At 46.7% G+C, this 27,497-nt stretch overlaps 1 protein-coding gene across 26 annotated transcripts in view, besides 1 other annotated feature; it reads left to right on the plus strand.

Moving 5' to 3' along the window:
• MSH2 (mutS homolog 2) overlaps positions 1-27,497 on the plus strand; it is a 306,764-nt gene that overhangs the window by 188,356 nt on the left and 90,911 nt on the right. For 8 of the 26 annotated variants that reach the window (NR_176244.1, NR_176248.1, NR_176245.1 and 5 more), the window contains one exon: positions 15,970-16,159. The exons of 17 other annotated variants lie outside the window; for them this stretch is intronic. Coding sequence is in view for 1 of the 9 variants with exons in the window: in XM_047444416.1 (XP_047300372.1) it covers positions 15,970-16,034 (65 nt within the window). In the remaining 8 variants the exon portion in view is untranslated. Of the gene's footprint in view, positions 1-15,969; positions 16,371-27,497 lie in introns of those variants that run through there. One more of the 26 variants, XM_047444416.1, reaches the window with a different exon arrangement.
• Positions 1,708-2,002: a silencer, noted in NCBI's record as "tiled region #1309; HepG2 Repressive non-DNase unmatched - State 23:Low". NCBI's record gives its function as "represses a minimal TATA promoter and a strong SV40 promoter by Sharpr-MPRA in HepG2 cells {active_cell/tissue: HepG2}" and the evidence as "EXISTENCE:reporter gene assay evidence [ECO:0000049][PMID:27701403]".

Here is a 27,497-nt window from a genome sequence, read left to right on the forward strand (position 1 = left end):
ATATTACAAAGTACCTTCTCAAGGGTGGGGAGAGTGTGTTGTCAAAAAGTCAATTGATCAGTTAGGATGGGGCAAGAACAAATCACAATGGTGGAATGTCATCAGTTAAGGCAGGAACTGGCTATTTTCACTTCTTTGGATCTTCAGTTGCTTCAGGCCATCTGGATGTATACGTGCAGGTCACAGGGTATATGATGGCTTAGCTTGGGCTCAGAGGCCTGACAGTGTTTATTCAGCCTTAGAAATTCCTCTCAAATGGATGTTTCCTTCTTCCTGAGCCTACTGCCTCTGCAAGAGTGGGAGGCCTAGCCTTTCCAAACCTGGACTGTTGCATCCTCCTGTTCCTCCACTTGACAGTCTTCCTCTGCAACCCACCGTCCATGGCTGGTTTCCTTCCTAAAACACACGCTGACCTTTGCCTGGCTCCCCAGAGCCTAGAGGAGCAATCCCAGTCTCATTTAAGGAGCCCTCAAGGCTCTGCTTTTTCTGACCTAACTTACCTGTTGCCTTGTCTCCTTTTTCCCCAAAATCTTCCTACCTTCCCTGTACATCTGATGCTTTAGCCCCAAGGACCTTCTTGGCCTTCCCCAAACAACACACCATCTCTGCTATTCTCTCTTCCTGGAATCCCCTTCCCTCTTTTTACTGGAAAACTGTAACCATAATAGGTCCATTGTCTGTTGTGTACAGCAAATCAATACACCAAGATACTGGGATGCAGCAGAGATAAGAGATTTAATCATAGAGTTGCCCAGAAAAGAGATGAGAGGGAACCTCAAATCCATCTCCCTGAGGAGTTTGGGGCTAGGGTTTTTAAGGGTTTTGGAGTGGGCCAAAGTGTGGAGACCATTGATTGGTCAAATAGTGCAGGGCGAAGTCATGGGACAGGGAACTGAAGAAACTGTATTCTTATGCTAATTCCATTTCTTTGTGGGAGTCTTCAAACTGGCTGGCATCAGCTATTTTGCTGGAATTTGGGATCTGAAAAACATCTTAAGCGATCCTTAAAAAAAAGCCTTATGATTCAAACGTCAGAAATCCTCTTTATAGAAACAATGGGTATGCAAGTGGTCAGGTGTCTTGTGCTAGGAGACTTATAGCAACAAGGAAGTGGGTCAAAGTGCAGCCTAATTAACGCTTAGTTATAACAATATTTCTGTACAGAATTCTTGTTAACCATGTGAGGATGGCGTCAACTCCTTTTCCTCTGTCAACATAGCAAAGGAAATGCCAGAACACTATTGGCTGTCCCAGGCAGGGTAATTCTGCTGCTGCAGGTCCTTTTCCCTGGCTGGACTGAACCTCTTGAGGGCAGATAGTCACATAGTACCTGGCCCATGGTGGATGCTCAAGGGATGATGAAAGGAGAGGTCACATGTTATATGCTCCCATTTTTGTGAAATTTCCAGAGTAAACAAATGTGTAGAGACAGAAAATAGATTAGTGGTTGCCAGGGGATAGGGGGAGGAGGGAACTGGAAGGTATGAGGTTTCTTTCTGGGGTAATGAAAATAGTCTGGAATTAGATAGTGGCGATGGTTGCCCAATATTGTGAATATACTAAAAACAATGGAATTGTATACTTTAAAATGGTTACAATGGTGAATTTTGTCGTAGATGAATTTTATCTGAATGTTTTTATTTTAAAAATGTTAAATAAAATTTATAGGAGGCCATTGATTGAGACTGAGCTCCTGCACTAGGCCCCTGTAGGCCAAGCCAAAATGGAATCCCTTGTGCTAAAGTCTCACATCACCAAACTGAAACTAAATTGTTTATCTTACCTTGCAAGGAATCAGGAGAAAGAGAGAGATAACAAGCAAATCCCCAAACAAGCCAGTGTTATTCCTCACGATAAGGAAGTCCCCTCTTCTTTAACCCTGAGGAAAGGAACCTAAAGTAACTTGATGCTAACCAATCCACTTTGTGTTCCCAGTTTCTGATTTTCTCAGCCTTTTCTGCCTGTAAAACCAACCTCCTCGGCTCAGCTCATCATAGGAATTTTCTAAATTATTGGAGGAGATGTCACCCCGATTCATGAATTGTAAACAAAAGCAAATTCGATCATTTAACTAAATTTGTTGTCATTTTGAATTTTGTCTTTTGACAGAAATGATGAAAAGATGAAGGAATAATAAAATACTTTTTCTTATTTTCTAATTTGCTTTTATCCCAGACCCTTTTTGTCATTCTTCAGCTACTCCCCCATGTGGAACTATTATAATCTAAATGAAAGTGTTTACTCAATCACAGACCACATCTGAATTATAATCAAATACCAATTAGCAGTCTTGGATTGATGGTGTCTGTTACTTTTGCTGTTTGTCCTTTTCCTGCTGAAGTAGAAACTCTGCAGGGAGAGAAGCTGTCTAGACCTGGTGGGTGTCATCTCTAATACATCCATCTGTCTACCTTGCTAGAGACCAAACTTGGACTAATCCCTGCAAAAGAAAAACCAGCAAGGAGAAAAGGCATCATTAGGAATGTAGTTTGTGACAAAAATAGCTCTTCAGAGCTTTTCACACACACACACGGGTTCATTTATTCATCATGAAAACCAGTGCGGGGCAAGGGGGTACCTTTTGATGGGGAAAAAAAGCTTCTGACCTGCCCTCACTAGTGAGTGGGCTGAGGGGGTGAGCTAGGCTCTTCTGACCTGTTGGTTATTTCTGCAGGATAAGGAGAGAGAATGTGTTGAGCTTTCTCTGAGTGAGGCTTGTGCCTGTTACTCTCATTATTTCACGAGTAGAGCCCAGTCTGCCTGGAACATTGGAAAACAACAGGACATACAAGCATTGAAGGCCCCACTGTGGCCACTTCAGGAGAAAATGGCAAAGACAAGTCCTGATTAATGAAGTCACCTATGACAACTCCACTTCAGACAATTAACTCAAGTTCCCATCTTCAGCTCCCGGAGAACTGAGACACATCATTAACTGTAAATTATAGTGACTCCTCCACCCTGAGGTGTCCTAAACATTCTTGTGACCAGAGAATTTTCAGCTGATAAACTTAAGATATGATAGAAAAAAATGGAGTTGGGGAACCAGTTACTCTATGAAAACTTTTGTAAGTAGTTTCCCATGGATTAATAAGAAAATCTCCGCTCATATTACACAAAGATAATTTCAACCCCATTATAGACACATGATGTTATTATTTGTGGTAAGCCAACATTTTCATGGCACATGCGATGTTGCCAGTGACAGAGCAGGAGCATTGCCATCTTGGACAAGCACTGCCATTTTAAAGTTCCCCTTGATCAAAAACTGCCTAAATCAAACCCAAAGGGCATCAGCCTAATGGCTAATGTCAGTATGACCATAAACCACAACTGACATCTCTGACCAGAAACATTCCAACCCTAAGATAAACCCCTCCCCGACCAAGGACATGCCAGCGCCAAGATAACCTCCCCTTTGACCGGAGAAATGTCAGCCCCAAGACAATCTCCTCTCCAACCAGAGACATTCCAACCCCACAATAAGCTTCTCCTCCACACAGAAACATTCCAAGCCTGTGATAAGCTCCCTCTCCCTGAACCCTTAAATATTCTTAGTCTGTCAGAGAGAGTGCTCCTGACCAAAATCAGCCAGAAGCCCCTCTCAGGTTTATTCTCCGAAATAAACCTATCTCTGACTGTTGAGCTGCTTTTTTTGTATTTCTTGTCTTCTTTCTTTAATTCTTACAGCAAGCACTATTTTAAGTGCTGTTGGTAAACTAACCCATTTAGTCTACACAGCAACCCTATAAGTAGATTACTGTTATCCCTTTTTACATATGAGGAAATCGAGGCACAGGTAATTTGCCCAAGGTTACACAACTAGCAAATGGCAGAGCTGGAATTTGAACTCAGGCCACCTGGGTCCAGAGTCCATTCAACAAACAGAGCTCACAGGGTTGTGTGGTTAGTGAGATGGGCAATCCATGCAAGCATGCAATTTGGGCCAAAAGGCTCCCAGTGCAGGACACAGCACACAGAAGTAAATCTGTGTTTAGTAGGATTTCACAGAAGAGTTATTTGTGATTGTGAAAAGCTTTCTGTTGTGCAGTTTTTGTTTTTTTTTTCCCCCAGAGAGGAAACAGATTACATGGACTATTTTCATATGTTTGTGAACTGGCCATTTGGGCCAGATTAAGGGGTCAGGCATTGGTGGGGAAGGGAGTGGAAGAGGTGGGGTCAGCCTCATTATCCAGCCCTTCCATCCTACAGAGCACTCCCCAAGGCTGCATTCTTCATTTGAATGCATTTCAAAGTGCAGCCTGATTAATGCTTAATTATAACAATATTTCTGTCCAGAATTCTTGTTAACCCTGTGAGGATGGCTTCAACTACTCTTCCTTTGTCAACATAGCGAAGGAAATGCCAGAACACCATTGGCTCTCCCAGGCAGAGTGTTTCTGCTGCTGCAGGTCCTATTCCCTGGCTGGACTGAACCCCTGGAGGCCGACACTCACACAGTGCTCAGCACATTCTTCAAATGAAGCATTCTTCATCCGCCTCCTGTGCCTTCCCCTGGCACACTGGATTCCTTTCACATTCAAAAAGACCTCACATCACCTCCCTGTTCTCTAGAGAGAAGTGCCCTGTTTCTTAAGCAAAGTGCTAAACAGAGATAGTTAAATAAATTTTCAAGTAAGTAAGAGAGGGCTTCGGTAGTTCCCTAATGTAGGGGCAAGCCCAAATTATTTTAAAATTGCATTGGAGAGACTCAGCAAATTCTGAGTATAAGTTGGATGCCTGCTGACTTGGGCCCAGACAAAAGACCTAGCACCCACCTTCTCCCTGCCCCACCCCACTCCCACCTCCTGGCTTCCCGAGAAGCTCAGCAGCTGTGCTAGTTCATCCAGGCCCAGGAACTGAGTGGAGAGGGGGGCTGGGGTCCCTGGGATGGGTCATTCCCAACTGCAGAGGACAGAAGCCTTCTGGAATAAAAGCCTTCTGCCAGGCATACCCCTTTGGTCAATCCATCACCAAGTCTATAATCAACACTAAAGTGGTCCTAATTGTGTGGGCTCAGGGAGTGCTGGGAAGGAAGACCTGGTGTGGGCACAGTGATCATGGAGGGAGGTCTTAGAAAGAGGGCTTGGATTCAAGTGTGAGAGAAATGGCAGCTCCCCATGAGGGAAGGGGCATGTTTTCTCTTTCTTACCAGCTGTATTCTCCTGATCCAAAATCATTATTCATCATCAAAATAAAATTCCAGAGGGCCAGCTTGTTCTGGCATGGCAAGGACAGTCAGATGACCTGAGGGGGCATAATGAGGGGAAGGATCATACAGTTAGTGGGGCTGAGACACTGGTGGCATTGGGACAGATGAGTGGAGATCACGCCTATGCCAAGGAACTCATCTTCCCCTCGTGCTGCAGCCTTCAAAAGTATCTCAGCACAAGAAGAGGGAGGGAGAAAGAAAAGCTACACTTTCCAGAGTCCTGGAGTGGACATTGGCTATTTCTTCCCACCCAGACTCCATTGCCCTTGAGGAACACCTCCTCCCCTTTCTCAGCCCCTCTGGTTTGGATGAGGCAGATCCTGTGATGCTCACCCCCAACCCTTGCCACAGGGTCAGACCAGGACCCACCCTGGCCAGTTAGAGCATTTTACCTGCCTGGCCTCAGGGACTGGCTCAGGCAAATGAGACTCAAATTAGGGGCTTTTGATGAATCCACTGGGAAAAGTGAAGCTTTCCTTCAGTGGGGATCACTAGCTCTAGGGATAATGTCTGATGGAAGGTCCAGAAGCCAGCACGTGGCCAAGCCTGCCGAGGGAGCAGCATTGAAGGATGGAGGGAGAGAGACCAAGTCCTGATGAGATCCTTCAAGTGCCTAGATTTGGAGGGCATGGAAGCCCACAAATTCATTTTTTTTTAAATTAACCATCTTAAAGTGAACAAATCTGTGATACCTAGTACATTCACAATGTTGTACAAACACCACCTCTAGCTCCAAAACACTTTCATCACCCCCGAATAAAACCCTGTGCTCATTTAGCGGTTACTCCCTATTCTGCCTCCCCCCAGCCCTGGCAACCACCAGCCTACTTTCTACTTCTACGAGTTTACCTGTTCTGGATATTTCACATAAACGGAATCATACAACATGTGATCTTTTGTGACTGGCTTCTTTCACTTAGCATAATGTTTTAGAGGTTCATCCACCTTATAGCATGGGTCAGTACTTCATTTGCTTGTATGGTGTATTAGTCCATTCTCGGGTTGCTATAAAGAAATAGCCAAGACTGGGTAATTTATAAAGAAAAGAGGTTTAAGTGGCTCACGGTTCCACAGGCTGTACAGAAAACATGACGCTGGCATCTGCTTGGCTTCTGGGGAGGCCTCAGGAAACTTACAGTCATGGCAGAAGGTGAAGGGGGAGCCAACACTTCACGTGGCCAAGCGGGAGCCAGAGAGAGTGAGGGGGAGGTGCTATATACTTTTAAACAACCAGATTTCATGAGAACTCACTCACTACTGTGAGGACAGTACCAAGCAGATGGTACTAAATCATTCATGAGAAATCCACCCTCATGACTCAATCACCTCCCACCAGGCTCCACCTCCAATATTGGGGATTACAGTTTGACATGAGATTTGGCAAGGACACAGATCCAAACCGTATCATATGGCTTAATATTATTCCTTTGTGTGGACATACCACATTATTTACTTATTTAGACACAGGGTCTCACTCTCACCCAGGCTGGAGCGCAGTGGGGTGATCATAGCTTGCCTAATTTAAAAAAACTTTTCTTTGTAGAGACAAGGGTCTTGCTATGTTGCCCAGGCTGGTCTTGAACTCCTGGCCTCAAGCAGTCCTCCTGCTTTGGGCTCCCAAACTGCTGGGATTACAAGAATAAGCCACTACACCTCGCCAACATACCACATTTTGTTTATTCATTCATCTGTTGATGGACGTTTATGTTGTTTCCACCTCTGGGCTATTGTGAACAGCACTGCTATTAGAATTCATATACGAGTATTTGTCTGAACACCTGTTTTCACTTTTGGGGGGTATATATCTAGGAATGGAATTTCTGGATCACGTGGTAATTCTGTGTTTAACTTTTTGAAGAACTGCCAGACTCTCACAGCATCTGAGCACAAATTCCTTTTTTATTGTCCCATTTGACTGAACAAGATCTCGTACATGCCAAGACTGAAACCTTTACTGTCCCAGGGCCTCCAGCAGAATGTCCCTCACTAGTTTGGAATTGTTCCTGGGCTGGTGACTGTGATGGTGCAATCCATAGCCCAGGAATGACCACAGCTAAGAAGCCTTGCCCCAAAACAGCCCCTTTGCAGCTGCTGGGGGAGGCCTGTCTGGCCAGTGACTGTCAGTCATTCTGTCTGTGCCTTCTGCCTGGATGGCCTCCCACAGAGCAGTGCTGAGAGGTCACTGGCTGGTTTGGGCTGAATTTCGGGTAGGGGCAAGGCTGTGGGATGGTCTGTCTCTCCATAGATCCAGGCCTTTGGATGGCCTTTTCCACCCGTCAGCAGGTATGGGAATGCCAAGTATAGGTGCTATGCTCTGAATGTTTGTGTCCCTCAAAATTCATGTGTTGATATCCTAACCCCCAAGTTGATAGTATTAGGAGGTGGGGTCTTTGGGAGGTCATTAAGTCACGAGGGTGGAGACCTCCTGAATGGGACTAGTGCCCTTATAAAAGAGGCCCCAGAGAGTGACCTTGCCTCTTCCACCATGTGAGAAGGTGCCACCTATGACAATGGGATCCCTCACCAGCTACCAAATCTGCCAGTGCCTTGATCTTGGACTTCCCAGCCTCCATGATGGTAAGAAGTAAATTTCGGTTGTGTATAAGCTGCCCAGTTTATGGTATTTTGTTATGGCAGTCTGAATAGACTAAGACGGTCGGGGGATAACCACGGAAAGAGAACCAAGGCCAGGACACTTGTACTTCACCTACCACCTATCCAGTATATGGCATTGAGGAAGTCACTTTCTGTCTCTGGGTTTCAGTTTCTCAAGTGACAAATGAGAGGGACCTATTAAATGATGACATTGACAGTCTCTGGTCCTGGGTGCATCTCACTCCATCCTGCTCTCCAGCTTTCCCCATCTCTCTGAATCTTCATAAAAGTCTAGGATTTTGCAGCTGGCAGGGGCCATGGAGATAATCCGGACCACCTGCCCTGGTGTCTCTTCTCATCTCTCAGAGCTCGCATGCTGGCCGCTGTGTGCCAGGCAGCTCCTGGAGGGCATTCATGATCAGCACCAGCATCTTCCTGTGGCTGTCCCAGCAGATAAAGCAGTTATTACTGATGGAGGGACAATGAGGTGTGCTCGCCACAACTGGCCTTAATGATGTTGGACTCCGCAGGATTGCCTTGGCTAGGCAGCTTCCTGTTTAAATGCAGGGCCTGGAGACACCAATTTCGTCTACACCAACAGCAGCATTGTAAGTGCCCTCAATGCCTGTTGCAGCAGCTGTGGAGTGCTGAGCAACATTTGGGGTGCATTTTCTGTGTCTTTCTTGTACACACACACACACACACACACACACAGAGCTATCATGAGGCTTGCCCTCTACTACATACACCTAAGAGTGCCCCTCTGTAATATTTCATCATTTTAATCAAATGTTCACTCTTTCACAACATGTATAAGTGTACTTGGTATACCAAAAAATGCTATCACAGAGTAAGGTGCTTTGTTATTATTGCTATTATAATTGCCCAATCCTTATAAATCCAAAAGATACAAATGACAACCTCCTAATTGCAATTTCAAGAGGAGTCTCAGTACCAAAACTTTGATGTTCATTCACATGGGAAATCTAATGCTCTTGGACTGGTATTTTAAATACAACATGATAGAGGCCAACACTTGGGCCCTTTCTGTGGGAGTGGGGCAGGCTGTGGTTTGAAGAACATCCTGTTCATGTCATGGACCCCTGCTTTTTGAAGGGCCACTCAATTGCCTTATTGAAAGATGGGTGCTGTATGATCCCTGGGGCTCCATGCCCCATCCCTAGGTGTCCTCTCAAGGAGCCGAGATTACCATGGCTATTGGTGGGCTGAGGGGCCTTGATGACAGGCAGCACCAAGGGGGCCTGGGTAATGAAGGGCAGTGAGGGGGTCAAGGACCTGTGTGGAGAAGACTTGGGCAGTGGCGTTCCTGCTTTTTAAGTGCTGCTGATGTTGGCAAGGGGAGGAAGGCAACGGATGAGGATGGGATAGGGGCAGGATGCGATGAAACGACCCCTAAGTAGTTCCTACCCCGAGATCCAGGGTCTGTGAGTAAAGCTCTGCAGCCCCTGAGGATTTGGGCCATATGGTTTCATCCTGCCCTGGGAGGCACCCTTAGGCCCTCATCTCTCAAGCCATCTGCATCTCCCCAGCCAGGAAAGGGTATGTGGTCTTCTCTGTAGAAGGTGGCACAAAGCAGGCACACAGTGCCACAAAAAGGCCTCGCTCTTGATTGACTCATCAATGCTGTGTGACATGTGAGGAGTGAGGATGTGTGCAGGAGACCCCTGCTCCCAGCACTGTGCTTACCCCACTGGCCCCCAGGCATTCTGCCAGCTGGGCAGAGCAGGACAGAGGCACAGAGAAGGTGAGGCGCTGTGTGTGTGGCTGTGTGCATTTGGGGACATCCATCCATCAATCCAGTCAGACCAGGGCAGGCTCTTCCTTGGGCCCCTTCTGTTCTGTCCCTTAGGCCAGGAATATGGAATGGCCAGGAATATAGACTGGCCAGGGCCACCGGAATCTGTGCTAACGGGAAAGGGCTAACAGAGCCTGACAGTGAGCCAGGGGTCTGCACAATGGAGAACTCTCCACTGGTACTGACCAGGAACCTGTGTTGCCCTTTGACCTAGGCAAAATAGACAGCTGCCTGTGTGGTAGATAGTGAAAATCAGAAAAGACTCCAGTGCCCCCTCAATGTAGTTCTCCTTTGTGCCTGATATCCCCTCATCAGCAGTTCTCACCTTTGAGTTTTAATGGATTCAAATGGATATGTTTCTGGAGAGGGGGAGGGTATCACACGTGAAGACCCTTCTCTTCAGCACTGTATTTCTCCCATGATAGAAGGGCCCTTAGCCCCCACCCCTGCTGCCCCCAAGGCCTAGAGCGTGGTAGGGGCAGGGTGCCTCAGTGGGACAGATGTGTAGAAGTCCAACCTTCTTGACTTCCTTGCTTTGCTGTGAGCATCACAGCAGTGCGCGAAGGAGGGGGCAGGCAGGGGAAAGGGGTAGGCTTGTGTGAATGGCTGCTGTGAATTTTAATTCAATTCAGTCTGGCTGGCTTACTGAATCAATGTTGGGAAAACATAGCGCTCTCCTGGGAGGAGAGGTGTTTGGTATAAATAGAAGGTATTATCATTAAGAGGCAATTAGGGGACGTCATGTCGCTCAATACAGCGCAAGGCAGCAGCCAGAGCCCCAGCCGTGGGCTGCAGAGCTACAAGGAACTGCTTTCATTTACTTGTCCCTGGAGAAAAAGACTTTCCTCCATTCCAGGGCTCTCTCTGGTCCCTTAGCCCCTTCTCTGCTGGATAAATTGAGCCACCTTATTCTCAGGGGTTGCTCGATGGGGTCGTAACCACACCAGTGAACTAACCATAGAAAGGGGTTACCATTCTCCACTCAAACTCTGAGCAAGAGCATTGCCTTCCCTCACATACCACCTTACTCTTTCTAAACAGCTTTATTGAGGTACAACTTACATAGCATACAATTTACCCATTTAAAGTATATGATTTGTCCAGGGGCGGTGACTCGCGCCTGTAATTTCAGCACTTTGGGAGGCTGAGGCAGGCAGATCACCTGAGGTCAGAAGTTTAAGACCAGCCTGGCCAACATGGTGAAACCGTGTCTCTACTAAAAATACAAAAACTTAGCCAGGAGTGGTGGCAGGTGCCTATAATCCCAGCTACTCGGGAGGCTGAGACAGGAGAGTTACTTGAACCCGGGAGGTGGAGGTTGCAGTGAGCTGAAGTCATGCCATTGCACTCTAGCCTAGGCAACAATAGTGAAACTCTGCCTCAAAAAAAAAATAATAATAATAAATAAAAAATAAAGTGTATGATTCAATGGTTTCTAGTATATTCACAGATATATGCAACCATCACCACAATTTTAGAACATTATCACCCCCAAAAAGAATTTTATATCCTTTAGCTGTCACCTGTCCATCTCCCCAACACATGCCAGTCCTAAGCAAAAACTAATCTACTTTCTGTCCCTACAGAGACTTATTCTGGACATTTTATGTAAATGGAATCATATCATATGTGGCCTTTATGACTGCCTTCTTTCACTTAAACATAATGTTTTCAAGGTTCATTTATGTTTTGGCATGTATCGTTAATTCCTTTTTATGGCTAAATAATATTCCACTGTATGGATATACTACGTTTTGTTTATCGGTTCATCAGTTACTGGGCAGGCATGTGGGTTATTTCTACCTTTTGACTACCATGAGCAAGTTTTTGTGTGGGCATATTTTTCCTTTCCCTTGGGAACATACCCAGGCGTGGAATTGCTGGGTCGTATGGTAACTCCATGTTTAATCATTTGAGGAGTTCCTTCTTGCTCTTTTTAAAAAAACTATTATTTTTTTTTTCCAGGACACAGAGATGCCAGAGAAATGCGGTCAGTTCTTCCTCCTCCTCGTTCTTAACAACACTTATTAAATAACTACTACTATTAACTGGGGACCTGCTGGGCAATCATTTAGCAAGTATCTCTTTAGCCCTTTTTATGTTCCAGGCACTGTTCTGGAAGCTGGGGGACAGCAGAATGGTGAATGGTGAGTCAGCGATGTTGCTTCACCACTATGAGGACTTTGGCTTTTACCCTGAATAGGATGCAAATAACTTGGAGGTTTGTTTTTTCTGTACAGGTTTATTGAGATATAATTGACAAAACTCAATAAACTACACACAAAGTGTACAATTTCATGAGTTTTGGTGTGTGTGTATATACACACGAAACCATCACCACCATCAAGATAATGAACATCTTCCCCCAAAAGCTTCATTGTTGTGCTTGGCGATTCCTCCCTCCTGCCTGTCTGTCCCTACCCACCTATCTTGAGTCAACCATTGAGCAAACTACAGATTAGTTGCATTTTCTAGAATGGAATAGTATGTGGTCTTTTTTAGTGTCGCTTTTAAAATTTGGCATAATTGTTTTGAGGTTTATCCATATTGTTGCTTATATTAGTAGTTCATTTCTTTTTATTGTTGACTAGTAGTTCATTCTATGGATGTGCCGCAATTTGTCTATCCATTCCCCAGTTGATGGACATTAGGGTTCTTCCATGTGGGATCTTATGGCAGATGTATGTTTAAGTTTATAAGAAACTATCAAACTGTTTTCCTAAGTGATTGTATTATTTTATACTCCCACCAGCAGTATATAAAAGTACTATCGATTGCAGTTTTTTTCCAACACTTGGAATGGCCCATCTTTTAAATTGTAACCATTCTAATAGGTATGTAATGATATCTCATCATGATTTAAATTTGCATTTCTCAGTGACTGGTGATGTTGAGCATCTTCTCATATGTTTGTTTGCCATCTGTTTATCTTCTTTAAAGAAGTGTCTGTCTAAATCTTCTGCTCTTTTTTTTTTAAGTTGGGTTTCATGTTTTCTTATTATCGAATTCAGAGAGTTCTTTATTAAGAGTCCTCTCAACAATGTTTTGTAGTTTCCAGCATGCATCTCTATAGGATATCTGTGCTCCCACATACCCTGGTGTGGAATCACCGCCTCCTGGGTGGGCTCAAGGCATATTGCTATGGTTACCCGCCAGGCACGGCGGCTCACGCCTGTAATCCCAGCACTTTGGGAGGCCAAGGCGGGCGGATCACCTGAGGTCGGGAGTTAAAGACCAGCCTGACCAACATGGAGAAACTTCGTCTCTACTGAAAATACAAAATTAGCCAGGTGTGGTGGCGCATGCTTGTAATCCCAGCTACTCAGGAGGCTGAGGCAGGAGAATCGCTTGAACCCGGGAGGCAGAGTTTGTGGTGAGCCGTGATCACGCCATTGCACTCTAGCCTAGGTAACAAGAGTGAAACTCTGTCTCAAAAAAAAAAAAAAAAAATAGTTACCCAATTGACTGATACAGCAAGAATTTTCTCCTGGGGCCACTTGCTGGGATCATGGAGATCCTTATTAATACATGGTATCAGCAGCTGCCTATTCTCCCTGCCAGGGAGTACCCTGTGGCCACCACAGGGAATGATGAGCCTTTCTGGCTGCCATCCTACAGACCTGCAAGAGCAGCCCAAGTGCCTTGGAGCTTTATGGCATCCAATTCCAAGTAGCAAGGTTAACCCTATAGGAGAGGAATAGCTTTTCCTCACCCATTGCTAGGTTCACAGCTGAGGTCCCGATAACAAAAGATAGATCAACAAGAGATCTATCAGATCAACAAGAGAAAAGATCAACAAGAGAAAAGTATAAAAGTATTTAGTAAGTTTTATGTGAAACCGATTACAGTTTATAAGGAAATGAAGACACAAAGAAACAGTAAAACCTGTGGATTTTTAATGCTAGGTTTGATGAAGAAGTGAATGACGGCGGTGAAGTATGATTGGATTAGAAGTATGATCTAATGCTAACAAACTAGGGGAGCTTAGCAAGGCCCATTTGTTTGGTTCCCCTCTGTGACCCTTTGTCTTCAGAGATGAGAATGTTCCTTACCTCTCACACGAGGGTCTTCTGATCCGCTGTAGGGGAGGGCAGAAAAATCTTTCCTAGATCAGATGGCCTGCTTCAGGGGAGAAGAGGGGAAGGTGAAAGTGATCTTCCTACTTCCACTGTTTTGCAAATGCCAAGATACCATATTTGGGGGTAGCATGCCCTGAACCCCATCAAGCCAATCTTTCAGAGAGCCAGCTCCTTCCTCCCACATGGCATTGTGCTTCCTGACATGGGCTTGTCAATGCAGCTCTGCCTGTGTCCCCTGAATCATTTTCTTGGCTACTACTATAACTTTTTCCAGGAACACACCCACAGATGAGAAATAGCTAGACCAATGTTGTTGATGCCAAAAGCCAAGAATTAGTGGTGGCAGGGTGAATCTGGAGCCCAGAAGAACTTCTGTGAATCTTCCACGGGGTGTTTCTAAGATTGGTCTACTCCCCTCCCCCATGCCCCATTATCTCATGCTGGGTTAAAACCATAGATGCCAGGCTCATCTCCTTGCCTCTAGACTCTTATCTTTAAGCATTGCTGCACAGTATGGGCCAGATTCATTCTCTTCTGTTACAATAACCATCATCTTGCTTCCCTGTTCAGGAACCATCCATGGCTGGGGACAGCGGCTCACGCCTGTAATCCTAGCACTTTGGGAGTTTGAGGCAGGTGGATCACTTGAGGTTAGGAGTTGGAAATGAGCCTGACCAACATGGTGAAACCCTGCCTCTACTAAAAATACAAAAAAATTAACCAGGCATGGTGGCAGGCACCTGTAATCCCAGCTACTTGGGAGGCTGAGGTAGGAGAATTGCATGAACCTGGGAGGTGGAGGTTGCAGTGAGCTGAGATTGCACCATTACACTCCAGCCTGGGTAACAGAGTAAGACTCCATCTCAGAAAGGAAAAAAAAAAAAAAAAAAGAACCATCCATGACTCCTCTGTGCCCTCAGGATGAGTTCTAAACTCTTGGCCTCATGTTCAAGAAAGCCCAACACCTGGTCCTTCCCTGTGTGTCCCAAATACTCTGCTCCAGCCAGCCCAGTTTTCTTGCAGGCCCCAGCATGCTCCTACCTCTAAGCATTTCTCATGTATGCCCTGTCCTGTCCCTCCCCACACCCACCTGCCCAAATCTCACCTCTCCTTAAAGGTCAGTGCGAATCCTAGTTTTCTATGAAGTGTTACCAACAATTATGGCCGACTTCACCATCTTCTGTTCCTTAGGGTTAATCAGAGGTTTTATTTTAGAACTTGCTTTCACTTTTATTAGTTCTATTAGTTCTTTATTAGTTATTAGTTCTATTTATCAGTTCTATTAGCTCCCTTTTAGTGAGGCTATGCTAGACACGACACATATACACACACACTTGTACTTTTTTTGCTTGGTTTATACATGTTGGTTCCTCATAAGAGTTGTTCTAACTCAAACAGCAAAAGTCTGGACTCCCAGAAACTCTGTTTGTAGATGCCAACATGGGGATTCAGAGAGCCCAGGTAACTTGCTCACGTCCTACAATGAGTGAGTGTTGTGGGTGGGCTTTGAGCCCATGCCCACCCCCTTCCTGCTCTCACATGACCTCCCATGGCCCTGGAGGACAGGCAGGGCTGAGAGCCTCGAGCTGCAGGGGAAGAGAACTGAAGCACAGAGAGGTTGCTCCCTTCAAGGACACATGGGAGCAAATGGCAACCAAACGTGGAAAGTGGGTCCATTTTAAAAAGAATTATAGAAAAACACTACATAAAATTTACTATTTTAACCTTTTTAAATGAATAATTTGGTGGCAATAAGTATACTCCCAATGTCGTACAACATCCTCACTATCTAATTCCAAAACATTTTCATCGCTCCGAAAGGAAACGTTGTACCCATTAAGCAGTCCCTCCCTGTTACCTCCTCCCCCAGCCCCTCATAACCATGAATCTGCCTGTGTCTCTGTGTATGTGCCCATTCTGGACATCTCAAAGAAGTGAAATCATATGATATGTGGCCTTGTGTTTCTAGGCTTTTTCACTGGGCCCTTTCATTTTAATGCTGCACTTGTGGTAGCTCATCTGGGTTGTAGTGAAAAATTATGTGTCAAGTGGCTGTATCAAAATGGAATGAACCTTTTCTCTTGCTGATCTCTCTTTTGTTATAGAGACCTCAGCTGTGATGTTGCTCAGCCTGGAATCTAGGTTTTCTGATGCCTATTGGTGAAGAAAATGCATCCCACTGCCTGCCCCAGTGCTTTAAGTTTGACCCCTAGCCTTGAATTGCCTCTATTTCATGAGGTCTATCTGTCTTCTTGCTTTTCTTCCAGACCCTACTCCCACCCGAAACACACAGCCCCTGACACAGAGCTGGGCATGTGTGGGCTCTCACTAGCGCTGGCTGAACTGCCTGCACCGGCAGGGCATCTGGCCTCCTTCAGCGGAGAGGGCCCAGCAAGCAGGACTCCGACCGCCTCCACTACTCCAGCTGAATTCCAGCCCCTGCTCTCCCGTCTCCAGGTCAGAACATCAGCATTTGAACTTGAGTACTTCCCCCATGCCTGTCCTGCGGGACTTGGGGCTTGTACTCCCTCTGAGGTTGGACCACCCTGAATTGGGGTTTTCCAGCTAGAAGAATCCCTCCACAGAAGCTTGAATTTTCCTTCTGTTCTCTCCTTTGCTCTGTACTTCTCAGCAAAAAGCATCACCTATAAATGTGAAGGCTGATTAATTCTAAGTCTGGGGCTAGTGTTAATACAGACACAGCTGGCGAGATACAGAATTAAATAAACACAAGGTCCTCTGCTGACTCAGCAGTTGGTGGAACAGGGGATAAGCCCTTGGGCATTCTAGAAAGTTCTGCCTGCCCAGTGGTAATTTTCCCTTTCAGGTTTCTTACCTGGAAAGAAATTCCCAGCCACTCTTGCCAGCCTGTCTATTTCACTAAGCCAGAGAACATATTTTGTTGTAAGAGATTTGAACATTACTTTCTGCTCTCAAGGGACCCCCCTCTATCAAGTCCAATTTTCTGTCCCTGCCTTTACCATTAGAGAGTCTCTTTGGTGGAGCAAGGCAGTACCCTCTCTATGCTTTTTTAGTGTCTGGTAGAGGCAGTGCCAAGGGGTGGCTGGGAGGATGGTTAGCTACCAGCTCCATTTCTTTTTTTTTTTTTTCTTTTTTTGAGAGAGAGTCTCACTCTGTTGCCCAGGCTGTAGTGCAGTGGCACAATCTCGGCTCACTGCAACCTCCGCTGCCCGTGTTCAAGCGATTCTCCTGCCTCAGCCTCCCAGGTAGCTGGGATCACAGGCACCTGCCACCGTGCCTGGCTAATTTTTGTAGTTTTTAGTAGAGATGGGGTTTCACCATCTTGGCCAAGCTGGTCTTGAACTCCTGACCTCGTGATCCACCTGCCTCAGCCTCCCAAAGTGCTGGGATTACAGGCATGAGCCACAGCGCCCGGCCGCCATTTGAGAATAAAAACACTGCACTTTATAATGCTAGCACTGTTTCCACCCAAATCTGCCATCGTCCTTCTTCCAACCAATTGCCCTCCCTAAATCCTTTCTAGATAGACATTCCGTAGTCACACCACCCCTCGTATGAATGAGTTGATCAGGCCTTTCCCTTTGCGGGAGGCACAGCTTGCAGGCCCATTTTAGTTGCTGGGTCTCTGCATCTCAAATTCTGGGCATGAATATGGGTAAATTTTTCATCTGTGTCCTACATGCCTCTGTGCACATGCAACGTGCAGACTGTTCACCCCTTCCAGGCAGCTTTCAGACTTTGCTTCACTGTGATCAGCAGTGGGTATAAGGGATGGTGTGCATGTACAGATCCCAAGTACAGCATTGGCTTGGGGTCTCATGCCCTCTGGCTTGTTCCTTAGGCTTTCATAGGCCTACATAAGTGACTGATGTATTTCCTCTCTTTTTTTTTTTCGGGGTCTTGCTCTATTATCCAGGCTGGAGTGCACTGGCACCATTATAGCTCACTCCAGCCTTGAATTCCTGGGCTCAAGCTCCTCCTGCCTCAGCTTCCTGAGTAGTTGGGACTACAGGTGCCTGGCACCAAGGCCACCTTGTATTTCCCCTCTTGCCACCTTACCCTGAATGTGATCTGAGATCCAACAGTTTCTTTCCTGGCCATTTTATTTGTTCAAATTGTTAGGCTGTTACAAAAGATGCTACAATGATCATCTTTGTGCCTTCCATCTGTCATTGAAGTAACCTCAATGGGAGCCATGCAGACAGGGAAGGATGTTCAGAATCCAGTTGGATTTAAATATATTCAAGAGGTGTGGCCCCGACAGATTGGAAGAGCATAAAAAGAATTCAGAATAGTATTAAGCAGTCAATAGAGGACTTTTAATGCAGAGGGGAAGGATCTGGGTTGCTGGTGAGGGGCTGGTTTTGTAAACTCAAATCAGGCTTGATAATTGGGGAAGATATAAAAGGTAAGGAAGATATAACCCAGAGCACAGGCTGTGAGACCACCCCATTTGGAGGGTTTGAACTGGGAATCACAAAGTTTAGGCACAACTTCTACATAATCGGGCTCAAGTTATTTGTTGTTGTCATGAGAAAAATTTTCCTGGGTGTCTATAGCTCCAGATCTCATGACCCAGCCAAAAATATGGTCTATGAGCAACCCAGCCTAACAAGAGGGTCATCCAATTTGCTTGGAATGTTAATCCCAATTTCTTGCAATGGTAAAAATATTTTTTTTTCTTAGTGAATTAGAGTCTTTAACCCAGAGGAAGTTTACACTTAATTGTGGATATAGGCCAGGCTTGGTGGCTCACGCCTGTAATCCCAGCCCTTTGGAAGGCCAAGACAGGTGGATCACTTGAGGCCAGGAGTTCAAGACTAGCCTGGCCAACATGGTGAAACCCCTGTCTCAACTAAAAATACAAAAATTAGCCGGGCATGGCGGCATGTTCCTGTAATCCCAGCTACTCAGGAGGCTGAGGCAGGAGAATTGCCTGAACCCAGGAGGTAGAGGTTGCAGTGGGCTGAGATTGAGCCACTGCACTCCAGCCTGGGTGACAGAGCAAGACTCCATCTCAAAACAAAACAAAACAAAATTAATTATGGATATAAAAATGCAAATAAAAATAATAATATTACTAGTTTTTTAAAAATTAAGTTTAGGAATAATCCATGTATATTTGGTGTTCTTAAAGTGCTTGTTAAGAGTAATTAATAAGTTAGCCTCATGAGATGGTCTTTTCCTACCCCTCCCCTACAGTGCTTAAAACAATAACAGCATTAATTTTGCTCTCTTTACGTAGCAAAATTGAGGCCTGCCCAATTTCAAGGGGAAGAGAAATAAAGCCCCACTTCTTCTTAGGGGGCAGGCAATATTGTAGTGGTCCTCCAGGGCCATCGGCTTCCCCTGACATTCCCCTTGAGTCCCTTTAGGTTTTCATTAACCCCTTCATCAAGATGCTTCCAGCCTCCATTGCCACCTAGTCCCAAGTTGCATTCTTTGGGTTTCATTATGGTAGTATCCCACTTCCAGGTATCTAAGTCTATGTCAAGTATTAATTGCTGAGCAATAAACCATCCCCAAACATAGTAGCTCAAAACAACTAATTTTTCTCATGGGTCTTCAATTTGGGGGAGACTTGGTGGGGATAGCTTATCTCTGCCCCACACCATACTAACTGGAGCAGCTTGAAGGCAGGGGCCTGGGTCCTCTGGAGGCGCAATCACTCACCGATCTGGCAGCTGGTCCTGGCTGTGGACTGGAGCCTTAGCTGGGGCCTTAGCCAGCAAATCTATACCTACCTTCCCCATGTGGCCTGGGCTTCCTCACACCATGGTGGCTGGGTTCCAAGGGCATGCGTCCTGAGAGAGGCAGGTATAAGCAATATATCCTGTTATGGCCTAGAGTCATGAACTACACAGCATTGCTTCCAGCACATTCTGCACAGAAGTAGTCACGAAGGCCCAGCCAATTTCAAAAGGAGGGAAAACAGACTCTGCCTTTTGGTTGGGAAGCAGCAGTGTTCTAGAAGAACACGTGGGACCAAGATGTGGCCATTTTGAGAAATTGTAATCTGTCACAATTTTGTACAGGTCTGTCATCGGCTGTGACCTACCCTGGGGTGGAGGGTGGTGGGGGGTGAATACAAACACCCAGGTGCTTTCGGCTGAGAAAAGGATCTGCAGTAACTGAAAGGTTATCTTCTTAAGATAGTCACTGGTATGGGGTGTTCATAATAAAGGCATATAGAAGTTGAGGAAGAGATGCTCAGAAATACTCAAGGGTAGGTTTAGGGCTTATGGGAAGCATCACCAGTGTCTGCTACAGGATAGTAAAACAAAATACTAGGCCCAGCATGGTGGCTCATGCTTGTAATCCCAGCACTTTGGGAGGCCGAGGAAGGCAGATCACTTGAGGTCAGGAGTTCCAGACCAGCCTGGCCAACATGGCAGAACCCCGTCTCTACTAAAATTACAAAAATTAGCCAGGCATGGTGGTGGGCACCTGTAGTCCCAGCTACTCAGGGGGCTGAGGCAGGAGAATAGCTTGAACCCAGAAGGTGGAGGTTGCAGTGAGCTGAGATCGCGCCACTGCACTCCAGCCTGGAAGAGAGTGAGACTCCATCTCAAAAAAAAAAAAAAAAAAATACTGTTGGTTCAGAAGTCAGGCCCAGCTGTAGTGGTTCGCATCTGTAATTCCAGCTCTTTGGGAGGCAGAGGCAAGAGATCACTTGAGGCCAGGAGTTCAAGACCTTGCTATGCGCAACATAGCAAGACCCAGTCTCTATGAAAAAGTTTTAAAAATTAGCCAGGTGGTATGCGCCTGAAGGCTAAGATGAGAGAATTGCTTGATCTCAGGAGTCTGAGGCTGCAGAGAGCTATGATCATACCATTGTACTCTAGCCTGGATGACAGAGTGAGAGCTTGATTCTACAAAAAAAAAAAAAAAAAAAAAAGTCAGGGTGAATTATATTCCCTCATGTGATCACAGAAGGCAGAGAAGAGGGAACCCGACATCTCAGTCTTTCAGGAAACATTAAGTGACAGAAAATGTGAACCTGAGATCGGCTTGGTGCCCTGCTATAACTGAGAGCTGGCCTGACCCCGTGTGTCCATCTCTCAAATCTTTCTGGTCTCTTCCCACTGAAGGGATGGACCAGTGGCTCTCCACTAAATCATGCCATCATTTTGTCATAACTTGTTTTGATCCAACATAGAGTGTAAATCAATCATTTTGTTTTTACACATGGTCCCATATGCACGCAAAATAAGGAAGTCTTTATCCACTGAACATATTGTTTAAATAACAGCTACCAAAATACATTTAAAGATCTTTATTGGGATACTAAGACTGTAGCATTTTGGGTATGGTGAACTAGCTTCTCTGAGAAAACAATAGGCAAGATCTTTTTTCTAAGGGTGAGTGGGTGGAAGGACGGAAGGTGGGCATGAAGTAGCTAAAGAGCACATGCCCCAGCTGTTAAAGCCAGGGTGTTTAATGTATTAGGTAAGACGGTGCCATGGAATAGAATTTTCCACTATAAAATTTTTCACTCTATACCAAACCTAGAAGTTTTTCTCCTACTGCCAAAACCTCACAGTAAGGTGAGGATAGACCCCTCCACCATCACAGTGTGGCTTTGAGGAAGGAAGTGAGGCCTCACAGAGGGCAGGGAAGGAGTGGGAGCCATTTCTAGACACAGAAGACATCCTTTATTCTAAAAAGTGGTCTCCTAAGGAGTCTGCCACCTCCAGTTCTGACATCACAGGGAGATGAGCCTGCCAAGCTGCCTCAGTTTCCTCAATGCAATGGTGACGTGACTGGTCTGAAGAGACACTTAGTGGGGAAGGAACACTCAAGGATCACTTGTGCTTGGCTGTTTAATTTGCGAACCACACCTCCCAGCCCTTGCCAGGAGGACTGGACAGGCCATGGCGCTCACATGATCTGACAGAAATATCCAGTGGGCATTTCTAGAGGTGGTCAGGCTCCAGCCTCTTTAAGCGCCCAGGTCTGTGGCTGTGACCTCCATGGCTAGATGCTGCCTATTTCTCTTCTAGATCAAGGCTTTCTTCTCCTGGTCCATCTCAGAATCTTTAATGGAGATAATGTAATATACAAAGTACCTTCTTTGAGAAAATTGCTCATGTAATTCCTGGCCTCTGTCTCCTTGGAAAAATAATGAATGGTCCCAAACCATAAGAGAAAGCCATTGTACAACCTCAACACACATGTCTGGGCAGCCCTAAGGAGAAGGACTGCCAACGCCGGAGAAATACAGCGACTTTCCATTGGATTTCAGGGTCATGCTTGGCCCAGCTGCTGTCTCTTTTTTCTTCTCTGGTGGAGGCCAAGGGACCCTTCAGATGGACTCTGGGATTTGTTGCTACAGCTGTCTCCTAGAGCAATGGAAAATGAACCAGATTTGGAAATGCAAGACCTGGGGACAGGCCCCAACTCCCCTCTTACTAGCTATGTAACTGGGGCAAATCCCTTAGCCTCTCTAAGCCTGCCTACCTATCCTCACAGGCTGGAGGTGGACCAGATGAGATGGCATGAGAAAGAGCCTGCTGGGTTCTAAAACTCTCTGTCTGGGCTGGGCGTGGTGGCTCACAGCTGTAATCCCAGCATTCTGGGAGGCCAAGCTGGATGGATTGCTTGAGGCCAGGAGTTTGAGACCATCCTGGCCAACATGGTGAAACCCTGTCTCTACTAAAAATACAAAAATTAGCCGGGCATGGTGGCACATGCCTGCGATCCCAGCTACTTGGGAGGCTGAAGCATGAGAGTCACTTGAACCCAAAAGGAGGAGATTCCTCCTGGACAAAATAAAACTTTCTGTCCATATATAGAAGATCGTAAGTGGCACTGGCTCAGCACAAGGCTTCAGGTTCCTCAATTTGGAACATTGAACAGATCAGGTTCTGAGTCCTCTGCAGGATCTTGAAGACAGAATTGACTATTCTCAGTTGACCCCTGGGCTTCCCTCGGGACAGGCTTTATAGCCTCACCCGCTTAATGCATCCCTGAAGCCTCTCAGGCACACAGCATCTCACAGCAGTGCTATTGAGGGTGGACTGTCTGTGGGTATGGGAATTCCATATGGGTGGGTATGATGGATCCCTCCTGCAACTGGCCACTAACACAGAATATAGAGAGCTGGCTTATGGAATTAACGAAGACCTCATAGAAAAGTGAAAATTGGGATGAAATGCCAACATAGCGCTGGGTGCTGAGATACGATCAGTGAACTCAAATTTGTGGCTGGTTTGAGCTGGGCACTCTCCCTCTTCAGCTGCCCAGAGCTCCCACCTACCAGAACCCACTCTCAGGAAAGGCCTGCTGTCAGCCAGTAACTTCCATCTTTGATATCAGTGGAAGTTACTTGACCCTTCTCCTGTGGGTGTCTGCACTCCCAATGCAGAATGGAAGGCATTGGTCCCAAGTTGAGGACCATCAGCCCTCAACTAGCATGTTAGGGATAATCTTTTGGGGCAGGAGGATTGCCCTGGTGTCCTTAAAATTCTTCCCTTTCTCTGTCTGAGTCAGGCTGGACTTGGAGAACCCTGAGATCTGGGCTGTGAAACGTCTCAGGGATTACTTTCCACTTTCGGATGAAATAAACAAATATAGAGAAGTGTCATCTCCTCCACCACTATAAAAATGGGGAGCCACCCAGCCCCCCAGGGCTCATCTGACAGCTGTAAACACCACCAGCTGAAACCCAGGTGGTGTGCTCAGCTTTCTGTTGAAAGAGGCACTTTAGAATGAGACCTTCTCAAGGTCAAAGGCCTTGAGTCCAGACTGGGAAAGAGCCCAATGTGCGGTGTGATTTCAGGGGCTGGGAAGGAAGCCTCCTCTCCCCACCACCAAACTTGAAAAAAAAAATAGTTCTAATCTGATCCTTGGGCTGTGTTTAAAATGCAAATTCCCCTGGGAGGGTCACAGTACTTTAAGTTTCTGGTGATTTACCTTGCAGTGTGAATGAGTCCCAGACCTATTCTTGGAAGTTTTTATTGGAATAACCAGGTGAGCTCTGAAGGATATTCAAGGACAGAGTTAGCTACGATAATAGAGTGCTGCTGGGGGCCGGGCAGGATTAGACACTAAAGTATATTTTCTCATGTTGGTCTCACAATAACTATGTAGAGTTGGGCTTATCCTTATTGTATAAACGAGGAAACTGAGGCACAGACAAGCAAATTATCTAAGATCAGTCAGCCAGGAGTAGACACAGCTGGGACTGGAAGCCAGGTCTGCTTGGCCCCAAAGCAGTGAGGATCTCATGGGCCTACACTCCTCTAAGGCAGAGGAGAGGAGGGTGCTGATAGTATCAGAAGGGAAGAATGGGATCCAAACAGCAGATGAAACATCATCAGGCTGTGAGCCTCCTAATGCACAGCTCCAGGGCTTCAAGGAGAGGCTGTTCCAAACCACCCTCAAGGCCACCATGTGCCCTGCACAGTGGGTGGTGCTCTGAGTCTAGAAAGGAGAAAACCTAGAGCAGTGGTTCTCAATCTTGGGTGTTGTCAGGGAGCTTGTGGACACACACATTGCTGGGCCCCATCCCCAGAATTTCTGACTCAGTAGGTCCAAAGGGAAGGGTCAAATTTGCAATTTACACAATATCCCAGGCGATGCTAACCCTGCTGATCTGGGGACCACACTTTGCAAACCACCTGAGTTAGTGCCCATCTCAAGGAGTTTCTCTCTGTTGAGGTCAAGATATGTACCGGTAACCAGCAGAGAGATTTAGTAGATGGGAGTGGGGGAAGCTGCTGTAATAAAGAGACCCTACAATAAATCAGTGGCTTAAAGAAGATCAAAGTTTCTCCCTTAGGTGACAGTCTGCAGTGGATGTTGTGGTGCACCACCCAGACCCTTTCTTCATCCATTTCCCCAGCTGCTGGGTGCATTGGTTGTTGAGGGCTCTTAGCTTAGTCCCTCTCTGGGAATTACCCTTGGAAAAAGGGGGCTGCCTCACCCAAGTTGTGCCCCTTTTGGGAGCAGCCTTTATCCAAAAAGGACTAGTAGGTATGGCGTAAAAAGTTTCCATCCCCATGCCTCAGTCTAGGACATCTTGGAAGGGCCATCCCAGGTCTAGAGCTCCCCACTGGATCAGTGCAGGGCTCTTGCCAAACTTCACTGTGGTTCAGTTTCTCCTGCCCTGCCACTTACAGGTGCTCCTCCTGAGAGCTTTCCCCAGCAAACCTCTTGGGGAGTCTGTTCCTAGTCAACTGATCTAAGATACAGTCAAAGTGAGCATTACTGGTTGGCAGGTAGCTTTGCTGCCCTTGATCATTGAGGGACCCAAGTTTTTTCCATCTTGTTCTTTATCCCTTCAGCTTTGTCCCAGGTTGAAGCCAGGTTGCAGGCCCCTCTGTGCTCCAGCTTTGTGGGAAATGGAAAGAGAATGTAGAGGAAACACACTGTGCCTTAAGACATCGGCCTGGAAGTGGCACACATCGCTTCTACCACTTCACTGTTTCTTAAAACATAGTCACGGGGCTCCACACAAGGAGGCTAGGAAGCACCCAGCAGCTGGGCAGCCTGGTAGGCTACGCCTGCTACTTTGGAAGAAGAGTAAAAGAGAGGGTGGTGGGTGGCCAGGAGTCTCCATGGCAACCTCTGAATAAGAATTTGTGTAGCCCTGAGAATCTGTACCACAAAGCTCGTTAGATAGGGCCGCAGGTGTGAGCCATTTACTGGGCACAAAGACCCCTACAGCACTGTCATTCATGTGGACAAAAATTTCTAGAGCTACTTAGGCATTGCTCACTAGGGACTCTCCATAAAAAGCAGCACTGCAGGTTTTGCACAATACTCTTGTGCTGGCCATAACTTGTCATTTCTTCTCCATTCAAGACAGCTTAGCTGGACATAAGTGAGACAAAGTAACACGACAGAGATAACCTTCAACAGACTCAGTCAAAGAAAATGATTCCCAAGCTTCAATTTTTTTTTTTATTAATCACAAATTACTTGTAAAAGTCTTCCATCTGATCAAGACGAGTGGTTGCCTGATTTTGCTTGTGCCCTCCCCACTTGAGAGCGGGGCAAGCAGTGTGGGTTTGACAGTGCCGACGGGGAGGGCTGGCTTATTGCACCCGGATAGGGCAGACAATCCTTGGCTGTCACGGAAGTCTTGTCAAAGGCCCAAGCAAAGGGTCACATCATACTGACCCTACCATCCCCCTGGCTTAGAGTTCACAGTCCGTCTTTGTTATAACTTTGCTGCAAACACCCTCAACTTGTTTGCCTCCCTCCCACTCTGACAAGCCTTTGTCTCCTCCATTCTGTGCCTGAGATGCCAAACATTGCTGGAGAGAATCTTATATTTGGGCCAATTCACTTAATGTTTATTACCCTAAACCTCAAATGTGCAGGCAACACCATGGGGCAGTTTTTGCCTTGCATGCCTCCTCAGGAAATTCCTGCACAGCTTCCCACTCAGCCCCCACATCCACTTTCCCTCTCCATTCCAGCCCTTTGCAGGCGCCTTGTTCTTCATGGAGAAAATAGAAAGCATTAGAGGAGACTCCTTCTCCAATCTCTCACCAATACCACCAGTGCCCACTGCACCTCACCCCAGTCTCTAGTTTCTGTCTAAGGCCAACCCCTCCTCTTGGTCTATAAATCTTATCCCCAAGTCCTGAGTTTACATTGGCAGCCCTGCCGGCAGACTCAATACTGAGCTGTCTGCTCAGCATCCGCACTGGGTGTCCAGTGGCAGAGGGAAAGCAAGGGCTGTGCTGGGGAGACGAGTGATGGGGAAAAGCTGTGGGAGGCCACCTCCACCAGGAGTGAGTGACCCACTGCCTCCCAAATACCTCTGATGGGAGGGTTATGCAAAGCCCCCCTCAATTCTACTCCCAACAGGCCACACTCTTTGGCCTTGGAGCCGATGGCCTCCCTGGAGGTGACTTCTAAGACTGGCTCTCTTCCCGAGCGGGTGGGAGAGTTGGGGCTAGGCTTCGGTGCTTGTCCTTCTCTATCTCAGGGGGTGCCAAATTGCCTGAGGCCCAAGCCGTGCCAGGGAAAATTTGCTGACAGGCCTGTGTCCCGGTGTCCCTTCTGGGGAAGGGAAGGGAGGCACCAGCTGGGTGAGGAGGGAGTGCTCTCGCAGAGGAGCCCCTCCCGCCTGCCCTGCCTGGGGGCGCCAAGAGCTCCAGGTTCTAGATCAGCAGCAGAGGCATCTCAGTAAGAAGCTGCCTGGTGCCGGGTGAGGGGCAGTCTCTTTACTCACCCTGCTCCTGGCCTGTCCTCTCTCCGACTCCCCACACTGTCCAACTGGTTTGTTCCTTGGCCAGCATCTGGGAGCCAATTTATTCAGCCCTGAGGTTTGTTTTGTTAAGGACTTTAAAATGTATTAAGAAATGCGCGAAGAGCTTTGTCATCACTTTTCCCTTTCTAACGTACCTGAGCAATTGGATCAGGAAGTCCTTGCCTGCCTGTCCTCCTGGCGGACCACCAGAGCTAGCCGAAGTCCCAAAATGGGGCAAGAAGGTAGGGCTGTGTCCCCTTCAAGCCACTCCTCTGGCCAAATAGCCTGGGCTGTAGCAATCTGAGCCAGGAGGGGTGTTCATGGAGGAGGGTGTGATGGCTCGTGGCTGTAATCCCAGCACTTTGGGAGGCCAAGGTGGGTGGATCACCTGAGGTCAGGAGTTTGAGACCAGCTTGGCCACCATGCCGAAACCCCATCTCTACTAAAAATACAAAAATTACCCGGGCATGGTGGTGCATGCCTGTAATCCCAGCTACTCAGTAGGCTGAGGCAGGAGAATCGCTTGAACCTGGAGGGCATAGACAAGAGGTGGGCCCAGGTCTCTCTTAGGAGTTCTCCCTGTGGCTGTGGAGAGAATGCCTGATG

The sequence above is a fragment of the Homo sapiens genome, chromosome 2, assembly GCF_000001405.40.
Source record: "Homo sapiens chromosome 2, GRCh38.p14 Primary Assembly".
In the NCBI taxonomy this organism is placed as follows: Eukaryota; Metazoa; Chordata; class Mammalia; order Primates; family Hominidae; genus Homo; species Homo sapiens.